Consider the following 22,916-nt stretch of genomic DNA (forward strand, 5'->3'; position numbering starts at 1 on the left):
AATAGCGAGTAAACAAACCTTTTTTCCCCCCTTGGTTATACTTTTCTTTGGTTTCCTTGGAGTTTTCCTTGGTTACATTGAAAACCACCCAGTATTTGCATTTGCATGGGTTAGTTCTTAAAGTCCTAAGTGGGTCCTAGTGTTTGGAGGTTTTGTAGAAATCATATCTTTGTGTAGTACAGGCCACACATGGGGAGTTGAATGTCCATGTAGTCATTGGAGAAGTGGCCAGAGTTGGGTGTCAGAGCTGCTGTTTGGACTTGGACAGATCCTGAGTGTGTCATCCTTGGCCAGGCACTCATTCTGTACAGCCCCCCAGGTGTGGCTCTAGGGAGAGAGCAGGTATGCACTGCTGGGTCTGTCCTGTTCTCTGTAGCTTCTGGATGGGAGGAAGGGTGACCTTTTCCAATTGTATTTTATATATTTGACATATTTCAAGTACATTTTAACTTTGAGTCTTAATTTTATTTTTTTCCACAGCTTTAGTAGGAAGATTTTCAATGACTTCCTCAGCACATACAATTTTTCTGGTTTTAATTTTTGTAAAAACTTGATCCTTGATGTTTAGATTCACCTTTTTCTCCCCTTAAAAATCCAGCCAAGGGCCAATTAATGATAGTTGCTATGGTAACTTTGGTGAAATTCAGAATGTTCCTAATGCAAAGAGCAATATGCTTGAACAGTAGATTTCATTTAAAATGTAGAAGAAGAATTTGCTTTGGTATAAAGGTGTTCAGCTGAACCTTCATGAAGAAAGTTGCCAAGGACTGAAAGTGCAAAAGGTTATAGTTTGAAAAGCTTATCATGGGAATTTTTAGCCATCTTTTAAATAAATAAATCTCATTTGGTTGCAGCATGTTTGCCCTGTACATAAATAAAGCTTAGATTTTGTTTGGGTCTCCAAAACATGGATTTAAAATTCTGCCCAGTTTTATGTCCCCTCATCAAATGATTTTACCATGTATTAGATTATAATGTTAGTGATGTTTCTGGCTTATATTAATATACTGCTTTATGTTGAAATAAACTCATTTTCATCCTCAACACATAAATTTCATCAATTTCAGACCTTAAGCACGGTTATCAACCTGTTAGATGCTTCTATTTGACTTTGCTTAAATAGCGCTGAAGGCCTGTCAGATGACTAGGGGGAAGTTTTTCCTAAACAAATTCAAGTTATTTTGCCAATTCAGTGATTTTTTTTTTAAAAAAGGATTTCTTTAATAAAATGAATGTTATCACACCCTTAAAAGTGACAACACCCATGTAAAAGAAGCTGATTGTATATCTAAATATCATAAAAAAGATCATTGAATTTAAACTTCTTCAGAGTTTTGTTTTGTTTTGTTTTGTTTGACACTGTAGCCACCATTACAAGCTCAGTTATAAGTAATAAGTGAACTGTTTCTCATTTATTTTCCTTTTTATATCTGTCCTAGGCACATTTTCTTACCTAGGAGTTTACTAATCATTTAACCTGAGGACTATCTAGAATATATGATGTTTAATATTTTAGTCACCTGCATTTATCATAACTGAGCATTTGATCCATGCCAAACACTGTTTTAAGCACAATAGTGTTTTTTTAATGTAATATATAATAGTGACATTTTTACACACTTTGATTGCTGTGTAAATGTTTATTGGTATTTCTTTCTTTCTTTTTTTTTTTTTTGAGATGGAGGCTTGCTCTGTCACCCAGGCTGGAGTGCAGTGGCACAATCTCAGCTCGCTGCAACCTCCGCCTCCCAGGTTCAAGCAGTTTTCCTGCCTCAACCTCCTGAGTAGCTGGGATTACAGGTGCCCACCACCACGCCCAGCTAATTTTTGGATTTTTAGTCGAGACAGGGTTTCACCATGTTGGCCAGGCTGGTCTCAAACTCCTGACCTTGTGATCTGCCCACCTTGGCTTCCCAAAGTGCTGGGATTACAGGCGTGAGCCACCGCGTCTATTGGTACTCCATATTGTCAGTTTGAATGGGGGGATGTGGATGCGGATCTTACACTTAGGATCACTGTAAGAAAAAAGTTTATCTTTATAGTATTATTTATTAATTGAAGTTGGCTTTTATTTGTACATTGGTATGCAAATTCAAGTTTGTAGATGTTGCAAAGTGGATATTGGAGTCTAGCCATTCTAACACTTCATCATAAGGCAGCTTCCCTCCTCCACTTCACCACCCCTCCAGGCAGATCTGCATGCAGTGGTGCTCAGGCACATGTATGTGCTTTTTTTTATGCAGCGAGGTTAGAGAATGGGGGGCAGGGTCTTTTCCTACATGGGGTAGGGGTGCATTGGCCAGACACTGCATCTGTCTGTTCTCCACTCTGTCCTGGCACAGCTCACCTCCAGAACACAGAGCCCAAAGCTGTCCTGAAGCAGTGGGTCAGAAAACATGTTTGAATACTCAGACACATGGAATATGTCCAGTCCTTTTCAAAATTCAAAATGGTAGAACCATATTGGGAAGCCATGACTGGGGACAAGGAATAAGCTTTATCAGGCCCTAGTCAGAAAGGAGTTTAGGGCTGACTGGAGTTGTAGGACATGGGAGCCTATCCTCACATCTGGGGATCACCCCTTGCCGTTCATGTGACCTTGAATGATCACTGAGCCTCTCATCTGTGGTTTTCTTGGGGAATGATACCAAGTCATAGGACTGCTGTGAGCACTGGATGTAATAATGGATACAAAAACTGTTTTAGCAGTGAGCACAGTTTCCTTGGGACTTGGTAACTGATAGCTGTCAATTCCTAATCCTCATTTAAATTATTATAAATGTGAGGTGAAGGGAAGGAGAAATTCTTGTTAGTGAGAAATTAGCTTACTCTTTGGCATCAAAGTGTGACATTTGTCTGTGGTATCTGTTAATCAAGTTCTATTGATCAAGCTAAGGTCAGATCCTTCTCTTATAGATTAAATATTCTTTTTTTAAAAAAATTATTGGTTGTTTTTTTCTTGGTTTTCAGTTTATAATGAATGCCTATCTTTTAAGATTGACCTAGGGGAGCAGTGTAGGATAAAATATCAAGTTCCCTGCGAAAGATTCTGTGCTTCTGAATAACAATAAACTACAAGGTCAACTTTCTAGAATAAAATTCTTCTGATCTAAAAACATATCCATTTGGGGAAAGGTCAGAGAAACTGAGATTCAATAATTCATCTTTTGAGGGTTCATCTTGTTTATGCGAGTCATTTCTTTGAACAGTTTGATCAGGTTTTGCTTCAGTAAGGGAGGTACGAAGATACAAGGTACGTGTTGCCTCAAGGAGAGAGGTTGTAGGTTTGCCCTTTCCCTGTAATGGCCGGACTAATCCACCAGCTTATATTAGGAAGATTAGCCATCTGTTAGCTTCTAAAACAGAGGCAAAAGTTTCTGCTTTCAGATTCTCTTGGTGTGCGGGCTTGGGAAGGACAGATGGGAGCTAATAAATATCATACCTTGAAAGGCCAAGCACCCGGCTGAGTTGTCCTATCCACTGTTAAGTCCAGCCCCCACAGCAGTCCTGTGATGTAGGTGTTGTTCCTCCCTTCAGGTAGGAGGTTCAGTAATCATTCAGGGTCACACGACTGGAAAAGGCTGACCCCAGATGTAAAGCCAGGCTCCCAGCTCCTTGTTCTTCCACTGTGTTCTAAACTCCTTCCCAGCTTGCGCTTGACACAGCCTTGTCTTCTCTCCCTCCGTGCCTCGCAGTGGTAGGGTTCCATGGAACACGCAGGTGAACAGTTTGACCTATGGATGAGCCGATCTGGAGAGCCTGCCTGGTGGGAGCAGGTTGGTCCCTGCAGTCCAGAGTCTGCACACAGTCCTTCCAGTGAGTGTCTCTGGAGGCTGTATCTCCTGATTACAACTCTATAGTTTTGTCTACTAGAGCTGACACCTTTGTTTTCTGTCACTTCTCAGGCCAAGAAGTAACTTTTTTTAGGAAAATATCTTTTTCCAGTAAAGATGTCCTTTCATCTCGCCACCCCACCCCCATCCCTGACCTCTTCTACATGCAGTCTTTTTTGTTTTTGTTGTTTGTTTGTTTGTTTTTTAGATGGAGTCTCGCTCTGTCCCCCAGGCTGGAGTGCAGTGGCACAATCTCGGCTCATTGCAACCTCCGCCTCCCAGGTTCAAGCAATTCTTGTGCCTCGGCCTCCCAAGTAGCTGGGGCTACAGGTGCACACCTCCATGCCAGGCTAACTCTTTTGGATTTTTTTAGTAGAGATGGGGTTTCACCATTGTTGGCCAGGCTGGTCTACAACACCTGACCTCACGTGATCCATCCGCCTTGGCCTCCCAAAGTGCTGGGATTACAGGCGTGAGTCACCATGTCCAGCCCACATACACTTTTAAAAATAATAGTTTATCTTGATAAAATCTGAATTAAGCTGTTGTTTTTATGAGGATTGTTTCTGACTCCTGTTTCTCATTTCCCTTTTCACCTCCCCTGTCAGACACATACACTCCACGTCCACACCACACATATGCACACTGCGGACTTCACCACTCACATTCACTTTACTTTGTTAATCTGGCTGCAAGGAAATTTCTTAGCCCTTGACACAGTATGTGAAGAGAGTTCTGTTGGCAGCTCACCATGGTATTTCAAATGTGTGCCTCAAATTGAGAGTGCCGGTTGGAAATAACAATTCACTCTAAGCAGTGCTTTTCATTGAAATGTAAATTGCCTTATACCCGTTTTCATTCTTGCGGACTTCTCAGGAGGAAGACAGGTTTTATGTTACAAGCATTGAAGAGAAAATCTTTCTCCTGGTATCTCTTTTTTTAGTATGCAACAAGATTGAGGATGATTCATTTAGGCAACTCTGGTCTACTCTAGGAGCTTGCATATCTAACAATATGCAGTATTCTCAGGAATTTTACCAGTGTGGGATTGCTGGTACTTTGAGGGGAGAAGGATAACTTCATATCTGGATTTAATTTCTGAGTTAATAAACCGCCATCACCCTGGAATGCCCATTTTTATTTGTTTCCTTATCCATTTATGAACTACCTTAAGGCATTTATCAAATAGTGACTTAAATCTAAAAATAAAATTAATGTCCTTTGTTTGGAATGCTTTTAGAGACCATTAGGACTTAGGAGCAGTGCAGTGGATGTGGAGAGAATGAAAGATTCAACAATAACTATATAAAACCCTAAGGTCCCACTCAAGTGGGGCGGCCTGGCCAAAATGTAGCTCAAAACATAATAGTGGCTATGAGAAAAAAGCTATTTTGTTGTCATTGTTATAACACCCAGCAAGGAACTGTATAGGTTATAGGGCCTTTTAAAATTTTTCAGCTGGATACCACTTTATTTTTATTGTGACTTTCAAACACGAAAATACCATTATGTTAAAAAAAAATACTATGGAATCTGTGTGGCAGAATGTATTTAAGCTGAACAGATTAAGGCTGTAGGACCAAAGGGCTGAACAACCTTGAGCATTTTTCTTTAAATATTCAAGTTTAAAAGCATATTCCTTGGCACCCCTAAAAGGAAAGCCCAGTAAAATGAATATGACATTTAGAATATGTAGCATTGGAGATTTTCATCTTTTTTTTTTTTTTTTTTTTGAGTCCTTGGGTTTATCAGCTGGAAACTTTCATGGCATTATTGCATCTTTACATAGTAATAAATGTGTCATAATTGACATGTGCTTTAAAATGCTCTCACTTCCTCTACTTCCTGGAAGATTGTTTCTGTCTTGCATGTTGTCCTTGCTGTGTTTTATGATGTGTTTGTATAAACATGATGAAACTATTCATGTTCTTGTTGATGCTTCTCTGAATGGTTAGCACTGGCTCTCTGGGTGTGTTTTGTTTGCTAAACCTTGAAAAAGTCTTAGTAGATGGAATACAGTGGAAAGATTAGGAAGATGCCTTTTTCCCTCATACTTCCTTTAATTAAATAATGTGAAAATATACTGATTTAATAGATGTTTCTGTGAGTTGTGCTAAATAGAATTGGTAACAGTGTTACAGTTTTATAGGGCTTTTTATCTGTTTGAGAGGTATGCAGGATTTCTTTTTTATTATTATTTTTTATTTTTTGTAGAGATAAGATTTCACTATATTTTCCAGGCTGGTCTCAAACTCTTGGGCTCAAGTGATCCTCCCACCTCGGCCTCCCAAAGTGCTGGGATTACAGGCGTGAGCCACCGCACCTGGCCGATATGCAGGATTTCTTGATGTTTCTCATCTTCCCATAACTTTTCTCTTTTCCTGACATGTGCTTTTAGCCTCTGATAGCCGTCAGCAAATACCTGGCTCCTGTTGGTTGTTCAGTCCTCTTTTTCTCTTCTCTCACATACCTACCACCCTCCAGGCAAAGCAAGTACCCTGTGGTTCTCTGCCTAATTTATATGTCTCGGAACATGCTGCTCCCCTCACCTTAAATGCCCTGCATAACTCACAAGACTCTTAGGACCTTTGAGTTGTACCTTCATCTCCAGAAGTTCTCCCTGGCATTTGTTCTGCACCTCCCATGGCTCCACATGCCCAGAGTTACTGATTTGTCTCCTCTCGATTCTCCTGGAACACCCAGTCCACCTTTTTTTTTGGTTTGCTCACCTGCCATCTCCCATGTCATAGAAAGGCTGCAGTGAGACACAGCCCTGTTCATGACCTTAGTAATAACATCATAAGCAGGTTATCAGTAAATGTTGATCAACTGTATGAATCTGCTGAGGTTGTGAAAAGGGATTCGGAGAAGTTTGAGATGCATTTGGCCCCAGTAGTTCTTACCTAGGGTGGGGAAATCAGGCATGTACCTGAGGAAGGTTGCTGTGCTGCTAGGCAGAGGAGTTGTGAAGTGAAACAGAGCACAGCATGCACCTGTGGACTGCTTTCAGGCCATGTTCTCTGGAGTGTGAGGTGCCGGACGGCTCAGGCCTCCTGTCCCTGGAAGGCAGAGTGGGAGCAAGCATCTTGCTGGTAGCGGTCAGAGGCTAAAGGGAAAGGTAGCACTGGGATATTGCCTTAAGATGAATAGGATTTCCATAAGCTGGGGTGAAGGAACGAGGAGGAGCACAAGGAAAAGATTAGCATTGAGAAGGAGCAAGGTATTTGGGCAAAAGGTTGGAGCAGAGATTTCCTGTTCTGGAATTAGCAGTGGGAGGGAAGGAAGAAAGGAATCCCAGAAGCCAGTTACGGAGAGCCTTGATTGCTAGGCTAAAGATATTTGGGTGTTATCCTGACGTACAGAAGAGTGTGTGAAGGTTTTGTAACTTTGAAGAAATGGGAGCAAACAGTCTAGTGATGAAAGCAGAGGAATACTGGGCAGAGAAGGAGACTTTTGCAGTAGTCTAGGCAGGGAGCATCCTGACCCAAGACACAGTCCGCTCTTCACTCATCCTACAAAGTGAGTCCCATGTGCCAGGCCATGGAGAGTCTGTGATGAGTAGTGTCCCTTGAGGAGAAAGGGGCATGAAAACAAAATCACCTTAGTTGTCACGTTTCTAGTGAGAAGATTCCAACCTGAAGGAAAATCCATAGGAGGTGATAAGGATGCTGGTTGACTGATATGCGTACCAGCATAGTCACAGGATGTGCAGATCGTGGATTGCAGATCTGGGCTTTGTTCACAGTGAAACAAACAATGCTGCCTGTGCTGCTCTAGTCACTTAACCGGACATCTCCCTGATGCTGTCAACTTCAGTCCCTTTTAACTGGTCTCCTGCTGCTTCCCTTGTCCCCACTTGCTCTGTTCTCAACATGGCAGCCAGGGTGATCCATTTAAATCTTAAGTCAGATCGCGTCACTTCTCTTCCCCACACTCACGGTGGCTCTCGTCGCACCCAGAGTAAAAGCCAAAGTCCTCATGAAGATCCACAGGGCCCCGCCCGCCCCTCACCACCCCTCTGGCCTCATCTCCTGCTCAGCCCAGCCACTCTGAGCACACTGGCCTCCTTGCTGTTCCTCTCACCCCTATAAAGCTCCCCAAGGCCCCTCCTTCCCTGTGTGTCTCCATGTCTGATTTCTCACCTCTTTGAAGTCTGCTGAAGTGTCACTGACCACCCTATTTACAATTGTAACCTGTCCCCCAGCCCTAACCCTGGCCCTTCTGACCCCTCTGACCCTGTCCTACCTTTTGTTGTCATGACTGATTACCTTCTGCCATGATGTGTCATTTGCTGTTGTTTCTTGTCAGATCCTCCACACTGCTCCCCCCACCCCATAGGTGGCTCTTTTTTTGGAATTAATTAATTTAGTGATTTTTTTTCTTTTTATTTGGTAGGCTCTTTAAGGCAGGAATCAGCTTCTGTTTTGTTTAACGATGTGTCTCAAATGTCTAGAACAGTGCCTGGTACAAAGAAGAAGCTCAGTCAATATTTGTCGAATGATTTGTAATTTATTTGCTCTTACTAGTACGGCCTAGTTAACTTTTCCCCACTACCAAGTGGATTTTGTTTATGAGAAAGAAAGGTTGATCCTGTCACAGCCTAAATTCCAAATATAGTTGCCCCTTGGTATCCTCGGGGAATTGGCTCCAGGAGCCCCCACAGATGCTCCAGTCCATGCTATAATGTGATGTAGTATTTGCATATAACCTATGCACATCTTCCCATATATGCTAGATCATCTCTAGATTATTTATAATACCTAATGTAATGTAAATGTTATGTAAATAGTTGTTCTACTGTGTTGTTCTTTAAATTTGTATTTTTTTTATTGTTGTCTTGTTAGTTTTGATCTGCAGTTGGTTGAATCCACAGATGCAGAACCCACAGATACGAAGGGCCAGGTGTATATTTTACCTGTTATTTGTTTTCTTCAAATGACGTATTTTCTCTTTGAAATTCTTAGAGCAGAGTTCTATAAAATGGGCACAATAATTAGAAAAGAAAATTTGAAAGCGACTTTTCAAATAAAAGAAATGTGGCAAAAGGGTTCAGTCACATATTAGAAACGATTTGTAATCTGCAAGGCTAAAGTGGAGGATAAAAATGTTGTAACCAGAGGATAAGGTCCACTGGTTCTCTGGCTTGCATGGTCTGGGTGCATTCCACTTATTCCTAACAACAGTGACAAGTTCTCCATCATTATTATCTTGGGGGAATTTCAGATACCCCCACAATTGTACATGCCCTCAGCATTCTGTTGCCTCTTAATTCGAGAACTAAACACACACAGCACAAAATGCTAAATAAAAGCACATGATAGAATACAAGATGGAAAAGAATAATTCCTAAAAGGACCACACCGCAGAAGGTTTTTAGTTTTTTGTTGTTGTTGTTTTTTGTTTTGTTTTGTTTTGTTTTGTTTTGGTCTTGTCACCTAGCCTGTTTTTTTCCTGTGCACACATGCATCATTGACATACACATATACACTCAACCCTCCTTGTCCCTACCTCCTCCCCATTAAAGAAAGCTGTTGAAGAAGATTCAGGAAATCAGAACAGAGAACGTCGACATGTGCAAACCTTTGGATAACTTTTAATTAGCTAGCCTGCCATCTTATAAGTAACTTTCAAAAGTGAATTGGGACCTTTTTAAATTCCCAGCTGGAAAGTTTCCATTTAGACTGTGAGGGTGTTTTCTTTTCATTACATAACCCATTTGTCAGTGGAGGCAGTATCTCCCTGCAGGAGGTAAACATTGGTTCTTAGAAGGCAAAAATAAATAAATAAATACATAAATACATAAATTTTAAAAACCCTATTTAAATGTATAAAGCACAGATATACATACCTATATATAAAAGATATACAATAAATAGATATACAATATATCTATGTTATAAAAATATCCTCAGGGTGAGTACAGTAATGAAAATGGTTGAGAAGCACTGGTTGAACCCACACTCAGAGGCACCAGCCTAGAGCACAAACGGTCTGCTCTGCATGTTCATGCTTTTACGTGGTGTTTGATAGTTTAACAGTGAGCTGTGTCCAAGGGCATGAGCCTGTTAGGTAGGACATGGACTTATCATGATCAATTTGGTCTATTAGGCACTTTTTGGTTAGAGGGACAGAATTGCTCAGGTGACTCAGTTCCTGGAGGGCAGAGGGAAGGCCTTGCTGGGCTGCCAGGGACCAGCTGGCAGGAGTAGAGTCTGGGAAGGAGAAGGGTGTTTGAAATGAGTATAACCATCATCCCTCTCCTCACAGGACCATTGTGGGGTAGTGTGTTAATTCATTCTTGAGTCACTATAAAGAAATACCTGAGGCTGAGTAATGTATAAAGAAAAGAGGTCTAATGGCCTCATGGTTCTGCAGGCAATGCAGGAAGCACGGTGCTTGCATCTGCTTCTGGAGAGGGCCTCAGGGAACTTACAATCATGGCGGAAGGTGAAGAGGTAGCCTGTGTACCACATGGCAGGAGAGGGAGAGAGAAGGGGGAGGTCCCAGCTCAAACAACCAGATCTTGCATGAACTACCTGGGTGAGAACTCACTTATCACCAAGGGGATGGCACAAAGCCATTCTTGAGGGATCTGCCTCCATCATCCAATCACCTCCCACCAGGCCCCACCTCCAACACCGGGAATCACATTTCAACATGAGATTTGGAGAGGACAGACATCCAAACCGTATCAGGTAGTGTTGAGGTTGTTGAGGTAAGTGTATACAAAGCTCTTAGCACAGAGTGAAGCTCAGTGAACAAATGGCTCTTCTTATGAAGAGCAGCCCTCAGCGGAGGCATGGCACTTCCTTCAAGAGAACCAAACTTGGAAACCTTGAATTAGGAAGTGATTACTCACTTTACAGGGAATGACTACGGTAATGATATATTTGCTTTCTGTTACCTAAACTTAGCAGCTTACATATTTATCATCTAATGGTTTCTTTAGCTCAGAAATGTGGGCATAGCTTTATGGGTCCTCTACTTAGGGTCTCTCAAGGCTGCCTTAAAGTGTTGACTGGGACTGGGTTCTCATCTGTAGGCTCAGCTAGAAAGGCATCTGGTTCCTTGCTCATGTGGCGGTCAGCAACACTGTATTTCCTGGGGTTGAAGGATTCATAGGAGCTTGCACTTGAAAGCCAGCAAGAAAGGAGAGTGAGAAAGACAAAGCACAAGTCTGCCAGTAAGACAGAGTCTCATATGATGCAAGGTAATCACAAGAGTACAGTCTGTCCCCCTTGCCATCTACTGTTGGGTAGAGGCAAATCACAGGTTCTGTCTGTACTCAGGGAGAGGGGCCTACACGAAGGTGTGAACATTGTTGGGGGATCATGCGGAGGGAGTCTGTTTGCTACAAATGGTATTCATATTCACATGTGTTTCAAACAGTAGAGGAAAACGTACCAAATATTTTTCTTTCTTTCTGTCTCTTTCTTTCTTTCTTTCTTTCTTTTCTTTCTTTCTTTCTTTCTTTCTTTCTTTCTTTCTTTCTTTCTTTCTTTCTTTCTTTCTTTCTTTCTCTTTCTTTCTTTCTCTTTCTTTCTTTCTTTTTCTTTTCTTTCATTTATTTTTTGAGATAGAGTCTTGCTCTGTTGCCCAGGCTGCAGTGCAGTGGCACGATCTCAGCTCACTGCAACCTCTGCCTCCTGTGTTCAAGCGATTCTCCTGTCTCTGCCTCCTGAGTAGCTGGGATTACAGGCACATGCCACCACACCCAGCTAATTTTTGTATTTTTAGTAGAGACAGGGTTTTACCGTGTTGGTCAGGCTGGTCTTGAACTCCTGACCTCATGATCCACCCACCTCAGCCTCTCAAAGTGCTGGGATTACAGGCATGAGCCACTGCGCCCGGCCCAAATCTTTCTATTAGCAAAACATTTGGTTGATAAAAATATTGGCTTATATTTTAATAATACTGATTGGAAAGCAAGATAAAGGCACTTTGTGCTGCCTGATATTAACTGTTAACAGCCACTAATGCTGCCTTCTGCGGTTTGGAGTTTATTGAGGACACAGCCCTCTTCTTTGAAAACGTGGCTGTCTGATATCTTCCAACCAAGGGAGCTTTTCAGGACCTCAAAACTTCTTGCTTTGTAAGGAATAATTGAAATATCCCTGCAAAGGTGATTTTAAAAAAATCTTTTCTAAAATGTAAAACTTTCTTTTATTATTTGTGCAATGTTTATAATAAGTACTCATTTCAGTGAAGATAACCATTGCTTTGTTTCACTCAGATTCATTGTCAAGCTTTAAACTTTCATTTGTTTTCTAAATTGAAAAAAGCCATTTTTGGATTGTTCTTACACTGGCATTCTTAAATGAGAAGTTTGGCACTTCGTATTCTCTACTGGGCTCCCCCTCCTTACACTAGCTTGGAGTTATGCTCAGTCAGCTCTCCTCTGTATGGGAGAATGTTGAGGAACAATGCTGAGAATTATATGGGTATTGCAAACGACAAAGTGAGAGTGCTGTTGGAGATTACGATACCACAATGCAAAACAATTTAATGGTTTGGAGGTACATTTGTAAGATGACAAGGAAGGATGATTGACCACACCCTTAACCAAGGGTTAAGAGGCCCTGAAGAATATTTGGAACCTTTTTTTCTGCTGTACACAGGTGTACTGGCCACCACCTATGGCCCTTGAAGTGGGGAGAGGTTGGTGTTTTGGTGATTAGACTTTGAAATATTTTATGATTCCATGTACTCAGCATATCCTAAGTTTCTGGCTCACTGAAAAAACTTAGCAAGGCATTGTTAAGTTATGGGCTTCTTACAGTTTGGAACTCCCGGATAAGGAAAAAACAAACATTCTAACTGTCTCACAATAGTAAGAGCAAAAAGCCTGTGCAGTCCCCACCATGGACATTGTGATTGTGCATGACATACATATTCAAATTTAGAACGGAGAGATGCTTCAGCATTCTCTTGGACCAATTGTTTTTCAGAATGCAGGGTTGAATAAACAAGTATCTACATATTTCCACTCTTCTGAATGCCACATATTTGCATAATGCTGGACTTTTCAATGTTTTTGTAGTTCTTCTTCATTGAATGCATCCAAATTGTGGGAATGTGGCAGATGGTGTTATATCCATTTGACAGATGAGGAAACTGAGGCTCAATAACTTGACTTGCCTGAGGTCATGTCACACTTCTGTAGCAGAGACAGAAACAGAGCCAAGCCCTCCTCATTCCAAACCTCAGGCAGGAGCTGTGGTGAAAAGCAGGGAGTCGGTTTGCATCTTGGCTCTTTCATATGCCAGCATTGTGACCTTGGGCTGTTACTGAACTTCAAAGCCTCAGTTTTCTCCTTTGTGAAATAGGGAGACTCCCTTCTCTTAGGGTTTTTAGGGTTAAATGAAAATTTACAACCGTCCCTAAACCTTGCAAGCACTCAGTAAATGGCAGCTACTGATGTGGTTTATGTTGGTTTTGGCATACTGCTATTTGCACAACTGGGTGTTAGTTGAGCTTACCTGGTGTATCTCCTTAAGGCCCATTGGATCTGAGTATCTGGCATTCTAGGCCCATAATTCAGAATCAGTGGAAGAGACAATGTTGATACATCTCTGAGGCTTGGTTACCTGGGAGCTGGCTTGATGTCTGGGGTTCTAGATAGTGCCCCCAACAGGAGAGTTGTTACGGGGTGGGATGAGGGGCTTTGCCCGCAAGAGGATGAAAAGAAAATAGTAGAAACAGGAGAGTGGCTTTTGGGCAAACTCTTGGATTTGCTGTTCAGACATATTAGCAATTCGTTTAGTGAAGAACAGAGCAGGGATGTGTGATGGGCTTCCATTACTGTGACATCAAGGATTTGAATTCTGACCACCTGGCAGGGAATTTGGGTTCTAATTTGCCACCAGTGGAGATAGCACAATTATGATTGTCTTAACACAAGAAGCCGTCTCCCCTAACCTACTCTCAAAATCTATCTCAGGTACTAACGCTGACACAGATCTGCTGCCATAAACTTGGTTGTCTTTTTTGTGCTGGAGAGGGTTTCTTCTGAAATGTAAGCACCTGGGCTCACTCTTTCTGCCCCTCTGTCTTTGAATCAGACAGCAGCTTTACCTCTTGGCCTCTTAGCAGATTTATTCTTAAGCAATATTAAAAGTATTGTTGCTTCTTGTCCAAATCTCCTTTCCCCATTCAGAAATAAAACAACTCCCTTAAAGGGGAGAGATACCATCACCTCCCTACTTGGGGCCTGAGAGGTGTTGCAGAAAATAAAATTCTCTGAGCTCTTTGGGCCAATTGTTCCTTAGATTTTAATACCTTAGCATGTTGTCTGTGCAGTTTTTTAAAGCATGGCATCACACACATACCCAGCAGCATTTGATGAAAGGCTCCAGTTTCAAGGTAAGATAGTAGTGTCAAGCTGTGCAAAATGGTTAGTCGGCCTACTAACTCAACTCTGGAGCAAGCTGCTTAACCTTTTTAAGCTACCTGTAAAATGAGAATAAGAAGAGCTGCCTCACAGAATTGTTACCAAGAGAATAGGCTCACAGTAAGAACTCAATTGTTAATTTCCTTAAAAAAAAATCCTGCTGGGGCCTGGTGGCTCATGCCTGTGATCCCAACACTTTGGGAGGCCAAGGCAAGAGGATTGCTTGAGCCCAGGAGTTCAAGACCAGCCTGGGAAGCATAGTGAAACCTCATCCCTAAAAAAAAAAGACAAAAATTAACTGGGTGTGGTGGCATGCACTTGTAGTCCCAGCTACCTGGGAGGCTGAGTCAGGAAGATTGCTTGAGCGTGGGAGGTTGAGGTTGCAGGGAGCTGTGATTACACCATTGTACTCCAACCTAGGTGACAGAGAGAGACCCTGTCTCAACAAAATGAATGAATGAATAAATAAATAAAATCTATTGAAAGGGGGAAAAAAAGCCTCGAAGAACTTTATTTACTTTCTTCTGTTGCATGCTACCACTTCCTGAAAGAATAGACATTTCCCAATCTCCCAAGTAATTAAAAATGAATGCAGATACTGATTTAGAGTGGCTGCATTTGTTCATTGGTAGAGGTAGGGACCTAAGAAACGGAGATGTTCTTCCCATAGCTAGACTGTGTGGCTAAGCATAGCATTGCTATAACTTAAAATTTTTTTCTTATCCATTGTAAAAAGCTTATAAAATATAGAAATGCATAAAAAATAAATTCCATTTACAGCCTTACTCTATAGAAGTAGTAAGACATTTTGGTGTCTTTGCTCTTTCTTTTTAACTTAGATTTGTGTGTGAAATAGATCATGTCTACGAAAGTGCATGGAACATATATGTATGAATTAAGGAATACTAAATATACGGGTACCACTTTCCAATTTAAGAGCTAGCACATTGCTAGTCTCTATGAGCCCCTTTTGTGCCTGGCTCTTCCATTTATTATTATTTTTTTCTAGAATCAAGTTAGTTCTGTTTATGTAGTTTTATATTGTGTTTTTGTTCCTACTGTATCATAAGTATTTTTCAATAATGTCATCATTTTAGGTTGCTTTCTTATCTTTAGAGCTCAAGGTAATTACAGATCATAGAATAGCCTTTCCGGTACCGTGCCTTATATACTCATTTAATTTTACAACATGCTGTGAGCTGCAGCAGCTCCCCATTTTACAGATGTGAAACCTACATTTCAGAATGTTTAGGTAAATTGCCTTGATGACAGAGTATGCCAAAGGACTGAGATTAGAGTCCAAGTCTGTGTTTCCAAAACCCTTGCCATTTCTACCATGGACAGGCTGACTTTATGGGGCTGTATGTTGGAGGCACCGTGTACATTTAAGGAATTGACCATTAAATGTGATGATGACGTTATGGGAACTTGCTTAATGATAAAGTAGGAACAAAAACACAGTCCGAAACTACATAAACAGAAATATAGTATTTCTGCCTAATTCTAAACAAGAATAACACATGACTAAGTTCTAGTTTTTAAGTGGTACTGGTGCCAGAAAATTCCAGATGAAGGCAAGCTTCCACAAGGAATGTGGAAAAACAAAAATAATTTCTTGACCAGGTTCAGTGACTCATGCTTGTAATCCTAGCCCTTTGGGAAGCTGAGGTGGGGGGGCATCACTTGAGCTCAGAAGTTCAAGAACAGCCTGGGCAACATAGTAAGAACCCCCGGCTCTATTTTTAATTTTAAAAGAATATTAAAAATAATAAACTATAAAGGAAAATAACTTTTTGAGAATCGGAACAGTATTGCATGCTCTGCTTTTATTTGAAGAGTCTATAGTGTTGGGTTGTCTGGTGTTCCCCCTTATCCTCCCTTAATTCCCCCACCTTCCTCCCACCCCATACCACTATGAAGTGAAGTCTGAGCTTTTATGTTCTAAGCAGCCCTCCTGCTGCATTTTCTTTTTCCTTTTCTTTTTTTTTTTTTTCCTTGAGACAGTTTCACTCTTGTCACCCAGGCTGGAGTGTAATGGCACGATCTCGGCTCACTGCAACCTCCGCCTCCTGGGTTCAAGTGATTCTCCTGCCTCAGCCTCCCAAGTAGCTGGGATTACAGGCATGCACCACCACACCTGGCTAATTTTGTGTTTTTCGTAGAGGCGGGGGTTTCACCATGTTGGTCCGGGTGGTCTCGAACTCCTGACCTCAGGTGATCCACCCACCTCGGCCTCCCAAAGTGCTGGTATTACAGGTGTGAGCCACCGCTCCTGGCCCCTGCTGCATTTTCTACAGTTGTACAGTTGTGCATCTGTGATTGATTGTGCTACAACCTGGGAGGAAGCCACTCTCCTCCTTTGCTTTGCCCATGAAGACGTGGCCCTGTAAAGTCTAGAAGAATAAAATGGTTGCTATGGTTGCTGTGGCAGCTACAATGCCAAGCTGAAAAGCTGACTAGAAAGTCGCCTGCTTATCTTTGGAAAGAGAGGGGACTCCATTTGGCACAGATACAGTTGCTCATTATATTCTGCAGGTATAGTCACTGTGGCATCCTTGGGCACATTCTGCGAACTCAAAGATGTGTAGAGATTTGGAAGATGAATAAAAGGCTGTGTTTGTTTAGGTGGAAGTATGGCTGTTATTAAGTTTAGTGAGATGGTAGTGGTTAACCTCACCAAAGTATTCATTAATATAAGCATCACCTTCAGCTTTGCCACAGTGTTTTTTGGGGATAGGAAAATTCCCTGCCTGTGACCAGTGAATAGTAAAACACTACTGGGATTTTTTCAAATGGCCATTAAATGCCAACAGCCACCACCACTTGCTGAGGGACAATAAAAGGAGTGGAGGAAGGCAGTCAGTCACTTTGTGTATGTTTGAATTCTTACACTGTAGGTGTCCAACCTAAATAGTGCTGTCATTGGTTTTAGTTCAGTTAATCATGCCTGAATTAAAATAGATTTTTTTAAAACTGTGATTGTGGGAATAGTGCAACATAAAATAGTTTTATGAGGCCCTACTTCATGTCTAAAGTGTAAAACAATTTGTTTCAAAAGAAGAGAATTTAAAAACATTTTCTTTATTTTTAATACAGGGTCTTACTCTGTTGCCCAAGCTGGAGTCCAGTGGTGCAGTCATAGCTTGCTGCAGCCTGGAATTCCTGGGCTCAAGTGATCCTCCCACCTCAGCCTCCCAAGTAGCTGGGACTATAGGCATGCACCACCACAGCTGGCTATTTTTTTTTTTTTAATTCTTGGTAGAGAGAGAGGGTTCTCTTTATGTTGCCCAGGCTAGTCTTGAACTGCCAGGCTCAAGTGATCCTCCTTGCTTCAGCCTCCCAAAGTGCTGTGATTACAGGCATGAGACACCATGCCCGACCTCCAAATATTTTCTTATGATAGGTTACTCCTGGAAGCAATAAATATGATGTAAAGCTCAGATTGACTTTTTAATTATCTTTATTTTTAAATTTTGCTTTTAAATTTCCTTTTCTTTTTCTTTTCTTTTCTTTTTTTTTTTTTTTTTGAGACGGAGTTTGGTCTTGTTGCCCAGGCTGGAGTGCAATGGTGCGATCTCAGCTAACTGCAACCTCCCCCTCCCGGGTTCAAGCAATTCTCCTGCCTCAGCCTCCTGAGTAGCTGGGATTACAGGTGCCTGCCATCACACCTGGCTAATTTTTCATATTTTTAGTAGAGATGGGGTTTCACCATGTTGGCCAGGCTGGTCACAAACTCCTGACTTCAGGCGATCCACCTGCCTCAGTGTCCTAAAGTGCTGGGATTACAGGCATCAGCCACCGCTCCTGGCTGCTTTTTAATTTTCTAATTCATTTATTTTTATTGTGGTATAGATTGAGTTTTGTTGTCATACCTTCCTGTGTTTGTGGAGTCTTAGAAAAGAACTCTCAGGTTACTTTTTTTTTAAAAATTTTATTTATTTTTTGATACAGAGTTTCACTCTTCTCACCCAGGCTGGAGTGTAGTGGCATGATCTCGGCTCACTGCAATCTCCGCCTCTTGGGTTCAGGTGATTCTCCTGCCTCAGCCTCCCGAGTTAGCTGGGATCACAGGCATGCACTACCATGCCCAGCTAATTTTTGTATTTTTAGTAGAGACAGGGTTTCACCATGTTGGCCAGGCTAGTCTTGAACTCCTGACCTCAGGTGATCCACCCACCTCAGCCTCCCAAAGTGCTGGGATTACAGGTGTGAGCCACCGCACCTGACCTCAGCTTACTTTTCTTTTAGGCCAGACAGATATTCATTTGTGGAGTACAGATATTCTTCTGTTGGTTGGTGCTGTTTAGCAGTATCTACCTAGAATCTTGTGTCTCACAAGACTTGACCAGATTGATAGGCACTTTTCAAATGCCCTGCTAAAGCTGCTGAATCCCTGAATGATCAAAGCTGGCACTGACTTTGGCAGCGGCCTTGACTTTTAGAGCATAGCGTGCTAACAAAGAGGAGCTTGCTTCCTCCAAACAGTAATAGGGTAATGTCCAGGGATCAGTGAGCGTGTTCCTTTCACCCAGTACTCTGCACCTTGCATCTCTTCAGCCTCCTGCCACCTTCTACTGTTCGACACCTCTTGTCCTGGTGGTGAGGGAGCAGGCAGAGTCTTTGGATACAGCTCAGCTAAGTGGCTTCAAAGTCAGGCAGGGGAACTGGTAGCTGAGCCTCCATTGCCTGGGGTTATCTACTTGTAAGGTTTTTCTGCCTTCCTAATTCTTATTACTACTATTTTACTGCCACTCTCCCTCCATTTGTGTTACTCTGTATAACCAACACCTAAGTGCGAAAGTCCTGGGCTTCAGTCTGTACCTTCTCTATATGGTATAGATGGATGCAGGTGAGATTTCCTGCCAACTCCCAAATGTGTAGCTCCAGCCCAGGCCACTTCCGTGAGCCCCAGATCTGTGTGTGTGATTGCAAACTCAACATTCTCCGCCACTGTGTACTATTTCAAACTTTAAATGTTTAAATCCAAACTCATTATTTTGTAACCCTCCCTCCTACCTATAAGCCTTCCCCCGACAACAAAATAACATATTTGGTCTCTTTCACGTCCTTATCATGTGAAGGACGCTCTCATCCACTTAACTTTGCAAGCTGGGAGTTAATACCGTAATCTCTTGCTTTCCCTCTGTATTCAGTACATTTTATCAGTTTAGATTCTTAAATCTCTGTCCTTAGGCCCAGCATGATCTAGCCCTGGCCTCACTCACTAGCCTGATTTCCAGCTGTCCCTCTCTGCCCTGCTTAGGTGGACCCTCCTCCCCTTAGAGGCCTTACACCAGCCCCCACTTGCTGAAATCCACCCCACCTCCCCACTGCCCACCATCCTCCTGATTTCATGTTCAAAGGTCATGTCCTCTGGGGAGGCTTCCCTTGATGCTCAAATGAGGTCAGTGTCTAGGGGGGTAAGCTCTTGTGGCCTGTATGGCACCCTCACTAGAGTCTTAAGTCCCACAGCAATAAGGGCTTTGTCTTTGCTTACAGTATATGCTCAGTGCCTAGGGCAGACCCCTCACCAGGTGAGCATTTGACAGATATTTGTCTAGTGAAGGAATGAGCGGATGAATGAATGAGTGAATGAATGTCAGGCACTGTGCCAAGCAATTTGTACACATCTCATTTAATCCAGGAAACCGTCGAAACTGCAAATCTCAACTGGGGAGTCAACCCAGAGCTGAGCCAACACCCAAGCCCAGGCTCTTTCTGCTGCTACCACTGGCTTCCTTGAGGGAGAGACAGTTGCTGCTATTTGATTTTACTGATAAAAATCTGTGATGCTACAGGGAGAATGGAGCAGGACTTCTTCTAGTAGAGAAATTAGGGAGACATTGAGGAGACTTGCATTTTACCGATGCTAATTTCCTTAGGGTCATTTCTTTAAGAAAAAAAAAATCCTCTTAAGTAACAAGCTTGGGGAGCTGTAGAGCTAGATCAGAGATTTTGCTGCCAACCTCTAAGTAACATTCCAAGTCCACTTTCCACTGCTTCCTGAGGAGGCCTGTCAGAGTTTTGCAGGTGTATTCCTGATCTCCTGGCTTGGAGCTCTTATTCAGTCTGCTTCAGCTCTTCCTCTCTACTCTTTTGGTTCTTGTCTCTTTAGACCATATTTATTCATTCAAGAAACTTTTACTTAGCACCCATTATGTTCTAGGCACTACGCTGGTTGCCCACCTTTATTCCTGTTCCTGGTAAGCATCTCCTTACCATTGCCCCTCTGCTCAGCAACCCCCACACTTTTACAGGAACTATCATTCATTACGTAATGAGGTCTTGAACTTATGATTTAAGTTCAACATTAATTAGACACTTTCTGTGTAGCAGATACTGTGCTAGGTTTGGAGGTTTAAGAAGAGACACACCCTGTGCCTTGAAATCTGTTTACACTACCATCAACCACACAAGAATGGGCAGATGAACTAGTGTGAAGTCAGGAAGTATCCATAGTTTTCTGTGATCCACAAAAGCACTACAGATTTTCAAACCCCTGGACAGCTCTGAGGACTTGATCCATTCGTAGGTCAAACATTGTACAGAAAGTAACCCGAGAGAGCTACTTGAGGGCAGGACGAAGGACTGGGCTATTTCCCCTCTCTCTATCACCTTCCTCACCCTCATTCTCATACCCTATCTAAGTACTAGTTCTTGCCAGTAAGCTTCTTGCTTCCAATGTGTGAAAATGTAAGCACTTAATGGGCAATTCCTAAGTACTACTATCTTTTTCCCTGAAAGCAGTGGCATGAACTTATCTCAAAGTTTGGAAGTTAATGGGAAAAATATTGACCAATAGGCACAAATCTATGCATCTTATTTGGATTTGACATAACAGTTAAGACAACTGGACTCCAAAATAGACAGTAACAGTGATCTCCAGAATCAAAAGTGAAAAGGAAATATTAGAGCATCTACTTTTCTAACTTATTGTCTCAAGAATTTCTTTTTTGCTTTATACAAAAATGTACATAATATTCTGGAACTAACAAGTGATTATAGCAAGATTGCAATGTAAAGATGAATACATAAGTAAATCACATTCCTATATATTAGCAATGAACAAGTAGAATTTGAAATGAAAACACAACACACTTACATCAACACCCCCAAAAATGAAATACTCAGGTATAAGTCTAACAAAACATGTACAAGATCTATGTGAGGAAAACTGCAAAACTCTGAAAGAAATAAAAGAGGAACTATAAATGCATGAAGAGATATTTCATGTTCACAGATAGGAACCCTCCATGTTGTCAAGATACCAGTTCTTCCCAACTTGATCTATAGGTCCAAAGCAGTGCCAATCAAAATCCCAGCAAATAACTCTGGATATTGACAAACTGACTCTAAAGTTTATAGATAGAGGCAAAGACCCCGAATAGCCAATACAATATTGAAGGAGAAGAACAAAGTTGGAGAACTGTTGCTATCTAACTTTAAGACTTATTATAAATCTACAGCAATCAAGACAGTGTGGTATTGGTGAAAGAACAGACAAATAGATCAATGGAACAGAATAGGGATCTCAGAAATAGACCTACTTAAATATAGTCAACTGATCTTTGACAAAGGAGCAAAGGTGTGATACAAGGCAGAAAAGATAATTTTTTTCAACGAATGGTGCTGAAACAACTGGAATCCACATGCACAAAAATGAACCCAGACACAGACCTTACAACCTTCACAAAAATTAACATAAAATGAACAAGACCTGAATGTAAAACACAAAACTCTAAAACTCCTAGATATTTATTGTACATGTTTTGTTAGATTTATAATAGAAAATCTATTATACATGACTGTAGGTTTGGCATTGACGTTATGTACAATACCAAAGACATGATCTGTGAAAGAAAGAATCGATAAACTGGACTTAAATTAAAATTAAAAATTTCCGTTCTGTGAAAGGCCATGTCAAGAGAATGAAAAGACAGGCCACAGACTGAGAGAAAATATTTGCAAAAAAGATATATCTGATAAAAGACTGTTTTTCAAAATATACAAATAATTCTTAAAACTAAACAATAAGAAAACAATCTGATTAAAAATTGGGCCAATGGGCCAGGCACGGTGGCTCACGCCTGTAATTCCAGCACTTTGGGAGGCTGAGGCAGGCGGATCATAAGGTCAGGAGTTCAAGATCAACCTGACCAACATGGTGAAACCCATCTCTACTAAAGATACAAAAATTAGCTGGGCGTGGTGACACGCGCCTGTAGTCCTAGCTACTCAGGAAGCTGAAGCAGAAGAATTGCTCGAACCTGGGAGGTTGCAGTGAGCCAAGATCGCGCCACTGCACCCCAGCCTGGGTGATAGAGCGTGAGACTCCTTCTCAAAAAAAAAAAAAAAAAAAAAAATGGGCCAAAGATATGAACAGGGGCTGGGTGCAGTGGCTCACACCTGTAATCCCAGCACTTTGGGAGGCTGAGGCAGGTGGATCACTTGAGGTCAGGAGTTCAAGAGCAGCCTGGGCAACATGGCAAAACCCCATCTCAACTAAAAAAAATACAAAAATTAGCTGGGCATGGTGGCACATGACTATAATCCCAGCTACTCGGGAGGCTGAGGCATGAGAATTGCTGGAACCCAGGAGAGCCGAGATCTCGCCACTGCACTCCAGCCTGGGTGACAGAGCCAGACTCCCATCTAAAAAAATAAAAAAGATATGAATGGATACCTCACCAAAG

General features: G+C 41.8%; 1 protein-coding gene across 4 annotated transcripts in view, besides 2 other annotated features; it reads left to right on the forward strand.

Annotated features, from left to right (window-relative positions):
- Positions 1–22,916, forward strand: part of IQGAP2 (IQ motif containing GTPase activating protein 2) — a 304,848-nt gene that overhangs the window by 82,157 nt on the left and 199,775 nt on the right. The gene's annotated exons all lie outside the window — the stretch shown is intronic.
- Positions 12,808–13,730: an enhancer, noted in NCBI's record as "NANOG-H3K27ac-H3K4me1 hESC enhancer chr5:75794074-75794996 (GRCh37/hg19 assembly coordinates)". NCBI's record gives its function as "activates a minimal SCP1, AML or CMV promoter by ChIP-STARR-seq in naive H9 embryonic stem cells {active_cell/tissue: H9 hESC(naive)}" and the evidence as "EXISTENCE:reporter gene assay evidence [ECO:0000049][PMID:30033119]".
- Positions 13,731–14,652: an enhancer, noted in NCBI's record as "OCT4-NANOG-H3K27ac-H3K4me1 hESC enhancer chr5:75794997-75795918 (GRCh37/hg19 assembly coordinates)". NCBI's record gives its function as "activates a minimal SCP1, AML or CMV promoter by ChIP-STARR-seq in naive H9 embryonic stem cells {active_cell/tissue: H9 hESC(naive)}" and the evidence as "EXISTENCE:reporter gene assay evidence [ECO:0000049][PMID:30033119]".

The sequence above is a fragment of the Homo sapiens genome, chromosome 5 (assembly GCF_000001405.40).
Source record: "Homo sapiens chromosome 5, GRCh38.p14 Primary Assembly".
NCBI classification, from domain to species: domain Eukaryota; kingdom Metazoa; phylum Chordata; class Mammalia; order Primates; family Hominidae; genus Homo; species Homo sapiens.